The sequence below is a fragment of the Homo sapiens genome, chromosome 8 (assembly GCF_000001405.40).
Source record: "Homo sapiens chromosome 8, GRCh38.p14 Primary Assembly".
In the NCBI taxonomy this organism is placed as follows: Eukaryota; Metazoa; Chordata; class Mammalia; order Primates; family Hominidae; genus Homo; species Homo sapiens.
Window position 1 is genome coordinate 3,234,084 of NC_000008.11, and position 14,513 is coordinate 3,248,596.

The 14,513-nt window shown below is 42.9% G+C and overlaps 1 protein-coding gene across 5 annotated transcripts in view, besides 3 other annotated features; it reads right to left on the reverse strand.

The window, feature by feature from the left end:
• CSMD1 (CUB and Sushi multiple domains 1) overlaps positions 1-14,513 on the reverse strand; it is a 2,059,554-nt gene that overhangs the window by 298,723 nt on the left and 1,746,318 nt on the right. The gene's annotated exons all lie outside the window — the stretch shown is intronic.
• Positions 9,890-10,562: an enhancer, noted in NCBI's record as "OCT4-NANOG-H3K27ac hESC enhancer chr8:3101495-3102167 (GRCh37/hg19 assembly coordinates)". NCBI's record gives its function as "activates a minimal SCP1, AML or CMV promoter by ChIP-STARR-seq in naive H9 embryonic stem cells {active_cell/tissue: H9 hESC(naive)}" and the evidence as "EXISTENCE:reporter gene assay evidence [ECO:0000049][PMID:30033119]".
• Positions 10,563-11,235: an enhancer, noted in NCBI's record as "OCT4-NANOG-H3K27ac hESC enhancer chr8:3102168-3102840 (GRCh37/hg19 assembly coordinates)". NCBI's record gives its function as "activates a minimal SCP1, AML or CMV promoter by ChIP-STARR-seq in naive H9 embryonic stem cells {active_cell/tissue: H9 hESC(naive)}" and the evidence as "EXISTENCE:reporter gene assay evidence [ECO:0000049][PMID:30033119]".
• Positions 11,236-11,907: an enhancer, noted in NCBI's record as "OCT4-NANOG-H3K27ac hESC enhancer chr8:3102841-3103512 (GRCh37/hg19 assembly coordinates)". NCBI's record gives its function as "activates a minimal SCP1, AML or CMV promoter by ChIP-STARR-seq in naive H9 embryonic stem cells {active_cell/tissue: H9 hESC(naive)}" and the evidence as "EXISTENCE:reporter gene assay evidence [ECO:0000049][PMID:30033119]".

Consider the following 14,513-nt stretch of genomic DNA (forward strand, 5'->3'; position numbering starts at 1 on the left):
CCTTAGATTTGCTTTCTATTCCCTGAGCCAAGGGACTCTGAGAGTGGAAGCTCCACATCACAGAGGATCAGCAGAGGCAATCAGGGCAGGGCTGGCTTCCTAGCTTCACAATCTCTCTCCATTTCTGCATTTCATATCAACCGGGATTCCTTATTTTGTTGCAGGTTCAATGACACAATTTGAAAATCCAAAACCAATTTTATCCAGCACTTTTACTGTATTTTCAGCATATAAATTTTCAGAGTCCTCACTGTAATACTGCAAACGGAAGCCACTCAATCACACTTATTTCTTAAACACTGGCCATGATTTCTGAGACATCATTCTTCTCGTCATTATCAGTATTATTATCATTACTCGTGTTTTGAACAGGGGAATCTCACTTGAAAACAGCACTCTCAGTGGAGATCTAGAAGAGAGTGCTTGGGTTTCGGAGTAGGTTTTTCAATGGAAAGAGAGCGGGAATGACAATAGGAGTTACCGGAAGGCCATTGCTGTACTTTCCCACTTTCCTCCCATCAGCTGCAAAGACTGGAACACAGGGAAATCCAAGCATATTACTCCAAGAGAAGCCTGGGAGAGCAGAGGAAGGCAGGATAGATGTGAAGATGCAACACTTACAGTTAGAAAGTCACGAAGGTCTCACCCATAAGCCACACATTTTTCTAACGTAGAACACTAATCATAGAATACAATCACCAGAATCACAAGGCAATTGGCCATCATCTTGGTACCAAAGGGGTACCCTTCCTGAACCAGCATTTTACACAAATTCTTGAATTTACTCTTTGAGTGATATTCCTATAGAATCTATGATCAACTGTTGTTGAGATTTCTCTGGTTTTCAGAAAATAATCAAAAGCAAATCCTACTGTACATGCACAATCTTGTTCATCTGAATGAACTTCCCATCTTCAAAGGAAAATTCTTCCTTTCCTCAAGCAAGTGGTGACATGTATAATTAAGCACTCATTTGCAAGTGATAATTTCTGTCACAGTTTATATAGGTTAAAAAATTAACAATAAGTGTATAATATTAAAATAATTGTCATACAGTGATAGTCACTGTAAATATCGCAACATTTATACAATGAAATGAATGTTATATAATAGTACAAGAATTTAAAAACAAAAGTTTAGGAGGTGAGCCAAGGACATCAGGGATAACAGTTTCATTATAATTTTTAAAACCAAGATGTTTTCATTTCTCATTCCCATATTTTTATTTAATGTTTATCAAAAGAAAAGATATATAATACTCACTACTAGGAAAGTTTTACACAAAGGTGCACAGATTTTATACATGAATAAGAATTTTAACGGATATATCAGCCTTGCAAAAAATAAGTGCTCTGTTGAACACTTTTCTGGGAGTTAATAGGATCTGGTCAAATGAGATTGGCAAATACTGCACACCCCAGTTTCCCCTTAGACATTCCCATTGCACATTAAGGATTAAAGGCTCAGAGCTGTACCACAGTAAAAAACTTCTAAAAATCATTGTTTAATCCAGCGTATCCCACATTGTCATCATAGAGCACAGTTTTCCTAGAAAATCTCTTAAGATCCTTCCAAATAGAAGTCCACAGAATATCAGTAGAAACAGTGCCTTGCACTAGTGGTTACATGTCCTTTCATGGTATAATATTCTATTCATTTTTGAAAGTACCTTTTGTAGTTCTCAACCCAATTTTTATTTGGAATACGTATAACAATAATAATGCAGCATGCAATTAAAAGTTTTAAACTTGTGAAGTTCATGTTGTCTAATAAACAGAAATACTGCATCTACATAATTAGCTCGAGTTTATGCCAGTTATATGAAGATGTAAGTTTTTTTTTTTTTTTTTTTGAGACAGAGTCTTGATCTGTCGCCCAGGCTGGAGTGCAGTGGCACAATCTCGGCTCACTGCAAGCTCCGCCTTCCGGGTTCACGCCATTCTCCTTCCTCAGTCTCCGGAGTAGCTGGGACTACAGGCGCCTACCACCACACCAGGCTAATTTTTTTGTATTTTTAGTAGAGACAGGGTTTCACCATGTTAGCCAGGAGAGTCTCGATCTCTTAACCTTGTGATCTGCCTGCCTCGGACTCCGAAAGTGCTGGGAATACAGGTGTGAGCCACCGCGCCTCGCCGAAAATGTGAGTTTCAATAAAATAATTATATATACATTTAGAGCTAATGTATATATCTGCTTGTATATTTTCAAAGGTTATTTAAAATTGCCATAAACTACTAAGGCTTACTTAAGTTTAAACAAACCCCCAAACACTTTGTATTTAGAATTATGAAATAAAGATGAAAAGTTCCTAGAGTTAGCCAGATTGGACTAAAAAACCAATAAGAAGGCTTGAGGAAGGAGAAAGAGAACAATTTTAAACAATGTAGTGCAGAATACATCGGTTGGGTCTTTGAAACAAATTTCATTTTATTTTCCTCTAGTTATGAATGATGCAAAGATGTTTTCTGTTAAAGGCAAGAAAGCTTATTCTAGACTAATACAAACCCCCACCCAGGGGCACTCCATTAGGGGCAGAAACTGCTTTTCCACTTCAGGCTCTTCACAAAGTGATTGGCAGAGCACGCTGTCATTCCTCTTCCAGGGCTGTATTCTTTTATGTGCCACATCATACACTTCACTCATTTTTCTCTTAAATATGTTTTCTGCAAATTGGATTTTTTGCTGACTCTGAAGGTTTCTAGTTTCTTGCCATAAAAAAGAAAACATTTTCAGTTGCATCCATCTTATCCCTCAACGACCCTAGAAAAAGGCAGCGCTGTTCCTGAGATTATGAGTGCCCTGTTTTCCAGTTTCCCACAGGCGTTCCCTGGAAAATCTCAAGTCACAGAGGCACTTTCCACAGGCCCATTGGCCTCTGAGGGGACATCTCTGCCACCTGTCAGGCTGCATCCAGAGCCATGCCAGTCAGCTTGAGCAACAAAGAACCTGCGCTGCCCTTCACAAAACAGCAGTGGGTCTGACTGTTTCCAACAGCAGGATTGACAACGTGCGGCTACTGCACTGCAGAACTGGACGCTGCAATAACGCCAATCTTTTTGCAACTAGATAAGAGAGATATATATATAGTCTCACAACTTTGCAGGCCGGGTGCGGTAGCTCACACCTGCAATCCTAGCACTTTGGGAGGCCGAGGCGAGTGGATCAAAAGGTCAGCAGTTCGAGACCAGTCTGACCAACATGGTGAAACCCTGTCTGTACTAAAGATACAAAATATTAGCTGGTCATGGTGGTGTGTGTCTGTAATCTCAGCTACTCGGGAGGCTGAGGCAGGAGACTCAGGAGGTGGAGGTTACAGTGAGCTGAGATGGCACCATTGTACTCCAGCATGGGCAACAGGGCGAGACTCCATCTCAAAACAAAAAACCAAAAAACCACAACTTTGCATATAAATAAAAGTATATAATATTTTTATATTAAATATTATATATTTATATATTATATAAATAACACAACTTTGCATATAAATATAATTTTTATACTTATACTATAAATATAATTTTATACTTATACTATAAATATATTTTTTATACTTATACTATAATTTTTTAAATTATACTATAAATATAATTTTTATAATTATACTTATACTACAAATATAATTTTTATAATTATACTTATACTACAAATATAATTTTTATAATTATACTTATACTACAAATATAATTTTTATAATTATACTTATACTACAAGTATAATTTTTATAATTATACTTATACTACAAGTATAATTTTTATAATTATACTTATACTATAAATATAATTTTTATAATTATACTATAAATATAATTTTTATAATTATACTTATATATTTTTGTATATTTATTTTATGATATGCTATATATTATATATTTATTTTATAATATATAATACAGATTTAAATAATAAATTTCACTCGCGTCCGTGTGAAGAGACCACCAAACAGGCTTTGTGTGAGCAATAAAGCTGTTTATTTCACCTGGGTGCAGACGGGCTGAGTCCGAAAAGAGAGTCACCGAAGGGAGATACGGGTGGGGCCGTTTTATAAGATTTGGGTACGTAAAGGAAAATTACAGTCAAAGGGGGGTTGTTCTCTGGTGGGCAGGTGTGGGGGTGTCACAAGGTGCTCAGCAGGGGAGCTTTTGAGCCAGGATGAGCCAGGAGAAGGAATTTCACAAGATAATGTCATCAGTTAAGGCAGGAACAGGCCATTTTCACTTCTTTTGTGGTGGAATGTCATCAGTTAAGGCAGGAACTGGCCATCTGGATGTGTACATGCAGGTCACAGGGGATATGATGGCTTAGTTTGGGTTCAGAGGCCTGAAAGTCCTGTTTTCTTATATTAATAAGAAAAATAAAATGAAATAGTTGTAAAGTGCTGGGACGGCAAAAATTTTTGGGGGTGGTATGGAGACATAATGGGCGATGTTTCTCAGGGCTGCTTGGAGCGAGACTACGGGCAGCATGGGAACTTAGAGTGGGAGAGATGAAGCTGAAGGAAGATTTTGTGGTAAGGGGTGATATTGTGGGGTTGTTAGAAGAAACATTTGTCATTTAGAATTATTGATGATGGCCTGGATACAGTTTTGTATGAATTGAAAAACTAAACGGAATAAGAGGAGAAAAACAGGTATTAAGGGACTAAGAATTGGGACCACCCAGGACATCTAATTAGAGAGTGCCTGACGAGGTTCAGCATAGCCTTGCCAGCAAAGATTATTTATTTACTTTAAGTGTTAAGAGTGGCAGGTTGGGGATGGCACCAAGAGATATCAGCTGTAATGGCTTGGAGAAATAGTGTAAACCAGCAGTGTAATCAAGAGCAGGGCATGTATAAGTAGTTGAGAATGGTGAATAGGAGTATGACTAGACAGAAGATAGTAGGGATGACAAGTTTTTTGGGGCACAGTCAAAGTTGGTGTGGTGTCTGGAATGAGACTGGGGCCTAAGAAAAAGGAACATCTATACAGGAGTTTAAATGGGCTATACCCTGTAGCATTCTGAGGACAGACCTGAATTCTGAGAAGGGAAAGTGGTAAAAGCACTTTCTATTCCTTTTTAAGTGGTGGCTGAGCTTGGTAAGGTTTTAAAAGACCATTAGTCCGTTTTACCTTTCCTAAATACTGAGGAGCGTAAGGGATATAAAGGTTTCACTGAATACCAAGAGCCTGAAAAAATGCTTGGCTGATTTGACTAATAAAGGCCGGTCTGCTATTGGACTGTATAGAGGTGGGAAGGCCAAACCGAGAAATTATGTCTGACAGAAGGAAAGAAATGACAAGGCTAAACTGAAGAATTATGTCTGACAGAAGGGAAGAAATGACTATGGTGGCCTTCTTAGACCCTGTGGGAAAGGCCTCTACTTATCCAGTGAAAGTGTCTACCTAGACCAAGAGGTATTTTAGTTTGCTGACTCGGGGCATGTTGAGTAAAGCTAATTTGCCAGTCTTGGGCAGGGGCAAATCCTGGAGCTTGATGTGTAGGGAAGGGTGGGGGCCTGAATAATCTCTGAGAAGTAGTAGAATAGCAGATGGAATACTGAGAAGTTATTTCCTTGAGGATAGATTTCTATGATGGAAAGGAAATGAGAGGTTCTAAGAGGCGGGCTAGTGGCTAGTACTATAGCATAGCCTGCCTTTGCTGGCGTGGGGCGATTAGGCCTGGTGGAACTGCCCTCAATAAACCAAGCGTGATGAGGGCGAGGAACAGGAAAGAAGGAAACATGGGGAAATGGGGTGAATGTCAGATGGATCAGAGAGTTATAGTCATAGGGGTCAGGTGTGGTATCCAGAATAATGTGGGAGGCTGGATTGAAGTCCGGGCCAGGAACAATGGTAATTGTGGGAGACTCAACAAAGAGTGAATACAGCTGAAGGAGCCGGGGAGCAGAAAGTATATGTGTCAAGTGTGAGGAAGAAAATAGATTTTGGAAGTTATGAGAACTGTAGAGAGTGAGTTGAGCATAGTTTGTGATTTTAAGGGCCTCTAAAAGGATTAGGGTGGTGGCGGCTGCCACAAGAAGACTTGAGGGCTAGGCAAAACAGTAAGGTCAAGTAATTTGGGTAAAAAGGCTACTCGGTGCGGTCCCGGTTCTTGTGTAAGAATTCTGACTGCGCAGCCCACACTTCAGCTGTGGGTAATGAAAAAGGTTGGGATGAGACAGGGAGAGCTAGGATGGGGGCAGTCTCTAAAGCTGTCTTCAAGGAACGGAAAGAGGAGTGGGGAAAGGACTTAGGATCTATGGGGTCAGCAAGGTTTCCTTTTGTGAGTTTATATAATGGTTTTGTTAGGATGGCAAAACCAGGTATCTAAAGTCGAAAGTATCCAACCATGCCTAGGAAGGAAAGGAGTTGTTGTTTTATAGGTGTTGGGGTTTGAGAGATCAGCTGAACACGATTGGCAGGGAGAGCACGTGTGTTTTTATGAGAATTACGCCGAGATAGGTAACAGATGAGGAAGAAATTTGGGCTTGACTGAAATAATGGGGGCTGTCTGTGAAGCTTTGCGGCAGTACAGCCCGGGTAATCTGCTGAGCCTGATGGGTGTCAGGGTCAGTCCAAGAGAAAGTGAAGAGAGGCTGGAATGAAAGGCGCAAAGGAATAGTAAAGAAAGCAGGTTTGAGATCTAGAACAGAATAATGGGTTGTGGAGGGAGGTATCGAGGTTAGGAGAGTATATGGGTTTGGCACCACTGGGTGGATAGGCAAAACAATCTGGTTGATAAGGCGCAGATCCTGAACTAACCTGTAAGGCTTGTCTGGTTCTAGAACAGGTAAAACGGGGGAATTGTAAGGAGAGTTTATAGGCTTTAAGAGGTCATGCTGTAGCAGGCAAGTGATAACAGGCTTTAATCCTTTTAAAGCATGCTGTGGGATGGGATATTGGCATTGAGCAGGGTAAGGGTGATTAGTTTTTAATGAGATGATAAGGGGTGCATGATCGGTCACCAAGGAGGGAGTAGAGGTATCTCATACTTGTGGGTTAAGGTGAGGGGATACAAGAGGAGGACGCAACGGAGGCTTTGGATTGGGAAGAAGGGCGGCAATGAGATGTAGCTGTAGTCCAGGAATAGTTAGGGAAGCAGATAATTTAGTTAAAGTGTCTCGGCCTAATAAGGGAACTGGGCAGGTGGGGATAACTAAAAAGGAGTGCTTAAAAGAGTATTGTCTAAGCTGGCACCAGAGTTGGGGAGTTTTAAGAGGTTTAGAAGCCTGGCCGTCAATACCCACAACAGTTATGGAGGCAAGGGAAACAGGTCCTTGAAAAGAAGGTAATGTGGAGTGGGTAGCCTCCATATTGATTAAGAAGGGGACGGTCTTACCCTCCACTGTGAGAGTTACCTAAAGCTCGGCATCTGTGTTGGTCTACAGGGCTTCCGAGGTGATCTGGCAGTGTCAGTCTTCAGCCACTAAGCCGAGAAGATCTGGGAAGGAGTGAGTCAGAGAGTCTTGGGCCAGAGTTCCAGGGGCTCTGGGAGTGGCTGCCAGGTGAGTTGAACAGTCTGATTTTCAGTGGGGTCCTGCACAGACGGGACACGGTTTAGGAGGAATCCTGGGCTGCAGGCATTCCTTGGCCTGGTGGCCAGATTTCTGGCACTTGTAGCAAGCTCCTGGGGGAGGTGTTTCTGGAGGAACGCCTGGCCGCTGCGGTTCAGGCATTTGGAAGTTCTTGTGTGCTGGAGATGTGGCTGGGGTTTGTCTCACAGTGGAGGCAAGGAACTGCAACTTAGAAATATGTTGCTTCTTGGCTGCCTCTATTCTATTATTGTACACCTTGAAGGCGACGTTAATTAAGTCCTGTTGTGGGGTTTGAGGGCTGGAATTTAATTTTTGGAGTTTTATTTAATGCCGGGAGCAGATTGGGTAATAAAATGTATATTGAGAATAAGACGGCCTTTTGACCTTTTAGGGTCTAGGGCTGTAAAGCGTCTCAGGTTTGCTGCCAAACGAGCCATGAACTGGGCTGGATTTTTATATTTGATGAAAAAGAGCCTAAACACTATCTGATTTGGGATAAAGAAAAAGGAGCATTAACCTTGACTATGCCTTTAGCTCCAGCCACCTTTTAAGAGTAAATTGCTGGGCAGGTGGGGGAGGGCTAGTCCCAGAATGAAACAGTAAGCTGGACCAGGTGTGAGGAGGGGAGGTGATAAAAGGATTATAGAGTGGAGGAACGGAGGCTGAGGAAGATTTGGGACCTAGCTCGGCCTGGGGAGGAAGGGAGAGGTCAGATGGGGCTGTAGAAAAGGAAGACTAGAAAGACTCAGCGACGCTTGGGGTTGGGACTGAGGGGACAGGTAGGAGGGAAAGAAGGAAGATTTGGGATGAGTTGCATGGGAACAGAGACTAGGTAGGGACTGATGTGTAAAAGAATGCCTGGACGTCAGGCACCTCAGACCATTTGCCCATTCTATGCCAAGAATTATTTAGATCTTGCAGGGTGGAAAAATTGAAAGTGCCATTTTCTGACTATTTGGAACCACTGTCGAGTTTGTACTGGGGTCAAGCGGCATTGCAGAGGAATATAAGGCATTTAGGTTTTAGGTCAGGTGACAGTTGAAGAGGTTTTAGGTTTTTAAGAACACAGGCTAAGGGAGAAGAGAGGGGAATGGAGGGCGGAAGGTTGCCCATAGTGAAGGAAGCAAGCCCAGAGAAAAGAGAGAGTAGAGACATGGAGGGAAGGGGTTCGGGGTTTCTTACCCTCCAGACAAGCGGGAAAGGGGTTGGGGCGCAGAAATAAGGGGTTGGGGCGCAGATATAAGAGGTCAGGGCGCAGAAATAAGGGATCGGGGTACAGAGATAAGAGGTTGGGGCGTGGAAATAAGGCAGGCGTCCCTGAGTGGTCAGACACCTCTGAAACGTGGGTGAACAATCAGAGAGATGTCCCTGCAATGGGGAGGCTGCCTTCCGTAGTCCGTGACCAGCGCCGGAGTTTTGAGTCCACGGATAAAACGTGTCTCCTTTGTCTCTACCAGAAAATGAAAGGAATTGAAATTAACAGAAGGGAGAGATTGAAGGGTGGCGACAAGATTGAAAGGAGAAAGTGGTTGAGGGATAGTGAGGGAGGTTGGAGAAGAGAGTAAGAGGCCGCTTACCCGATTTAAAATTGGTGAGATGTTCCTTGGGGTGGTGGGTCTGAGGACCCGTGGTGGTAGGTGGATCTTTTTCACGGAGCAAAGAGCAGGAGAACAGGGGATTGATCTCCCAAGGGAGGTCCCCCGATCCGAGTCACAGCACCACATTTCACTCGCGTCCATGTGAAGACACCACCAAACAGGCTTTGTGTGAGCAATAAAGCTGTTTATTTCACCTGGGTGCAGGTGGGCTGAGTCCGAAAAGAGAGTCACTGAAGGGAGACTTTGAGTAGGTAAAGGAAAATTACAGTCAAAGGGGGTTGTTTTCTGGGGGGCAGGTGTGGAGGGGGTCACAAGATGCTCAGCAGGGGAGTTTTTGAGCCAGGATGAGCCAGGAGAAGGAATTGCACAAGATAATGTCATCAGTTAAGGCAGGAACAGGCCATTTTCACTTCTTTTGTGGTGGAATGTCATCAGTTAAGGCAGGAACTGGCCATCTGGATGTGTACATGCAGGTCACAGGGGATATGATGGCTTAGCTTGGGCTCACAGGCCTGACAATAAATATAATTATTTATGAAAATTACAAATATTATTTATGTATTTATATAAACAATATCATTTATATATAATATTGTCATTTATATATAATTATATGATGAATATTATATTTATATGTATATGCAAAGTTTTGTTATTTTCCTTTTTTGCTAAAACAAAGTTGGGGCCACAGTCTATTAAATGCATGAACTACATACATGTTTTTTAAACGTTATGTAAAATTTTATTTGTTGACCGAGGTATTAGTTCATAGAAGTACGTTTGCTTAGCATACGCATCATTTAAAACATCCCTGCGTACCTCGATAGATAAAATGCTTCTCACATCTGTAGAAAAATACATAAAGCAATACCAATATACAGAAGCAGTCGCATCTAGTACACAGATCACAACGTGCGCATTACATAGACCCTCTGTCGTTCAACACGTGAAGGAAAGCTGTTGGGTTCGAAATCAGGTTTATAAAGTAGAATTGGCTCCTGGCTAGGCAGAGATGCTATTGCGAGGCTGGTGGAACACTTTTTATTCTTTCTTTTCCTGTATTTTGGAGGGTCAGTAGCCTGCGAAGCTCCTTGTTTCTGTTCACTGGAGTCAGGCTGCGGCAATTTAGGAATCAGGCAGTCACTCCGGAGGTCCTCTTAGTTATGCAAACCTAGGACGTGTCCTCCCCCATTACCCTGGAGAGCAATCTGCTTTTGTTTAACAGAGACCATCCCTTTTTAATGGCCAGGTGGAGCAGGGTTAGTTTGCATAAGCAGTCTTTCCAGGAAGAAAGGAATAAGGTCCCAGCCAAGTACACCAGCTTTTACACTGTACATACATCTGGGTCGCCTCTAACCTAGGTCGCTGCAGACATCAGCTCTTCAAAGGGGGAAATCATAGACACACGTTGAACCCAAGGCAGGACAGCCAGGGTGAAACATTTTGGGGGCAGCTTTGATTCAGCCTTGAATGTGGCTGACAATCTGAGCCCTTTATCACCCTGGACGGTGAATGGAAAAGTGAATGCTATTTGGGAAACAAGGGTTGAATGGGAGGGATATAAAGTAATAAGCGGAAATCCAGTATCTGCACACCCTCCAAGCATCATAGTCACAGATGGGTGCGGGATCCGTCTTCAGCAGGGACACTGCTTGGCAGCAAGCAGCCTCAGATTTTTAGGACCTGACTCTCAGCCCAGTCCTCCACCCCAAGGGCGCTGAGAAGTAAAACTGACTCCCTTCGGGAACATGTGATCCTGAAGTTATTTTTTGGCTATTTCCAAGAAGAACTGTGATTCCTCAAGAGGGAGATTCTGAATTTGGTGCTCAAAAGGACAGGAGGGTATTTTAGAAGGTCAACTGTGGAGGAAAGGGGACGTGTTAGCATTGTGAATTTGTAAAGCAGATCATGAATTTCGTTAATTTCTGCATTAATGCATTAATTGAGTTTGTATTTACTATTTTGCCCTCTCTGTAAATGGCACTCCTGTCTTCTGAGTTGCTCAAATCAAAACCTTAGTAGTTGTCCTTGAGTCCTCCCTGTCCACAGCAAACATTCATTCCAGGGCACATCCTGCCACCCTGAGAAGCACCTCCAGTTCCTTCCGGTACCTGGGTCCCAGTCACTAGGAGCCTGTGTAAGGGCATTTGCAAAACAAAAGTGAGAGGCTGAATTCTCCCTGCAGGAGATAAAGGACCAGACTTTTCCCCCTCTCTTTCTTAGAGCATTTTGTTTAGAAAACCTACAACTGGAAGTACTTTCTCAGTTCCTTTGAAATGTATGTGGATGTTTACAAAAGCTAAATAAGCCTCCTGTCAGCTTTAAGACCTAGGAATGTCTTTCCTTAGGATCTGAGGCCATCTCTTTGAAATGCATCATCAAGGAAGGTAGCGCCCATGCCTACCCCTTCCAGGAAAGGACAGGAGCCTAAATCTTCCGCAGGCACCTGACTCCAAGTTGCAAAACGGCCTCCTTTCATAAGGATGTACAAAGTTTATTTTTTCTTCATATAAAACCACAGCTACCACAGATGATCACCCCAATTTCTGGGTGGATCTAGAACGGACTATGTGTTGACCAAGGGTTGTGTTAAGCCCTCTTGCTAGGGGACTAGTTACTGTTTATCTTGAGAACAAGTCTGTAATGACTTTTATCTGCTTGATAATGAAAGAGATTTCTTTGCAATTTCTTAGCAGATTGCCAGTGACATGAATCGCATTCTACTTGAAAGCCTATTCAACAATAATAGTGTTTTTATTTTTTTCTCTATTACTTTTGTGGAGAGGTTTTTCTGGGTAGGCAGAAGTTTTGGTTTTAATTATTTATTTCCCCCAACGCACTTGCCCGAACTTCCTTCTTGTCTACCCCCAGTGCAATCCATTCTCTGCACTGCATCTAGGAAGATCTGCTAAGAAGGCACATCGGTTCATGTCACTTCTTTATTTAAAAACCCTTGAGTGGATTCCCATCACTCTAGCTCCACACCTGGATCTGCTGGTCCCGTGGGATCAGGGCCCTGCCTGCCACACATCCACTGTGCCTCACCCACACCAGCCCCTCATTCTTCCTTGGAATCCATGATCTCATTCCTCACATGGGACTTCTCACTGGCTACACGGTTCCCTGAAATGCTCCTTTATCTGGTCTTTGCAAAAATCCTTATTTGGGTCACCCTGAAATGCCAGTTTCTCCTCCAGGAAGCCAGTTCCTCAGTCACGCTCTCACATATTAAACTCTTCTATTCTCTGTTCACCCCCATTCTCTTTATTTTATTTTTTTAAATTTGTATTTTTTTTGTGACAGAGTCTCACTCTGTCACCCAGGCTGGTGTGCAGTGACTCAGTCTGGGCTCACTGCAACCGCCACCTCCCGTGTTCAAGGGATTCTCCTGCCTCAGCCTCCTGAGTAGCTGGGATTACAGGCATGTGCTGCCCTACCCAGCTAATTTTTGAATTTTTGAAAGAGACGGGGTTTTGCCATGTTGGCCATGCTGGCCTCGAACTCCTGACCTCAGGTGATCTTGCCCGCCTTGGCATCCCAAAGTGCTGCGATTACAGGTGTGAACCACCGGGCCTGGACTTTTTATTTTCTTAATCATCAATATTTACATGGATTTCTCATTCCCCTGACACACTGAGAGCTCTGTCTTTCATGGTGCCATTTTAGCGGTTGATTAAAAATTTTTGGAATTAGAGTTCCAATTCTTTCTCTCTTTTTTTGCTGTAGAAAAAAGTGTTTTAGAAAGCTTACAATTTATTGCTTATAGAACTTTTGTAAGTGAATTATGTTAAGGCAAGAGTTATTACCTTTGTGGATGCAAGTGAACCATGTATTCATTTTTGTATTGGTGTAAGTGAAGATCTAAGGGCAGAAGTGACTTCAAAACAGCACAAATATGGTGAGAAGCTGCCTGGGTGAGGTGTCAGGTGTGATGTCTCATTTGCCCCTAAATGTTTGTGGGATGCAGGGCAAGGGCAGAAAGAGGCTCACAGACCATGTGATTTGATATGTAAAAGTCCTCATGCCTTCCTTGACAAATGTACATTCACAGCGATGTGGGTGGTAGCTGTGGTTTGTAGTCCTCAGGCTCCCTGGAGAGCATAGCTGAAATTCTGCTACCTGGACGCAGACTCCTCCTGCTCCTGGCCCCCTCCCCGCCTGCTTGCTCCTGAACCGCTAGCAGTGAACCCATGACATTGTGACCCCTCTGCTGACTTCTCTTATTTCCATGCTCCTTGTATCTCTGACAAACCATTTCAGATACAAGCCAAGCTGTCTACCCTCAGGAGGAGAGGCCCAAAGAAAAGGCCCATCCAACCCTACGAGGCAAGCTCAGGTCCATCTGGGCCAGGATGCCAGGGTCTTGAATACGCAGAGGATGGCCCAGGACATTCTCCCTTCCCTGTGGGGAGAACATCAGCCAGAGGTGGCCTCTGAGCCTGGGTCAGCAGGCAAGGCCCCCGCCCCCAGTTCTAAAATAGAACTGTGGCAAACAGTTAAACCACATCTCCCAACAGTTGAGATTAACATGTGCAGGCACAGAATGAAATGTTACACTAAAAAAACAAAACCAACAACAAAAAACCAAATTACACATAGATTCACTAAGAATCACAATGAAACCTCCAATCTACTGTACAAAATTAGGCAATGTCAATAATTCACAAGGGGGGAGCAGGATCTCCATGGAATCCATGCATTTTCATAGTTCCAGAAGGGAAGCATGTGCTGATGACTTAGGAATTCTCAACCCCATTACAACCACCTCCCGAAATCTGCAGGTCGCCAATTGTTTACTTTCTACATCAACATCATCAAACCACACAGACAACACTCAAGCATGAACAACACCGGCTGTGCAAAGTGGCTCATGTCTGTAATCCCATTGCTTTGGGAGCCCGAGGCAGGAGGATGACTTGAGGCCAGGAGTTTGAGACCAGCCTGGGCAAAATAGTGAGATGTAGCGGTGTGACAAACAGAAATTAAAGAATGAAGTATGAAAACAGGAGAAGATTTTCATTAAAACCTTTACTGTAATAGGAAGAATGAAATTTTAACTTGCAATTAGGGTGATGACACGTTCAGCCTTATCCAGGACAGTACTGGCTTGCACCTGTTGTCTCAGATAGTGATGAACAGCACCCATGTTTACTCTTAAAATATCCCAATTTGAATAAAAATTACATAATCTTCCCACCTATGAAGTCCTTTAAAACTGGAGTTTCAGAAGAATAAGGGAAATGGCTGGAAGTGTGAGACAGACAACAGGGAAAATCCAGTGACATCAGTGAAGCCCCTCTGCCAGGTACGCCTGTAATCAATTCCCTCCCTTTTTTTTTTTTTTTTTTTTTTTTGAGACGTAGTCTCGCTCTGTCGCCCAGCCTGGAGTACAGTGGCGCGATC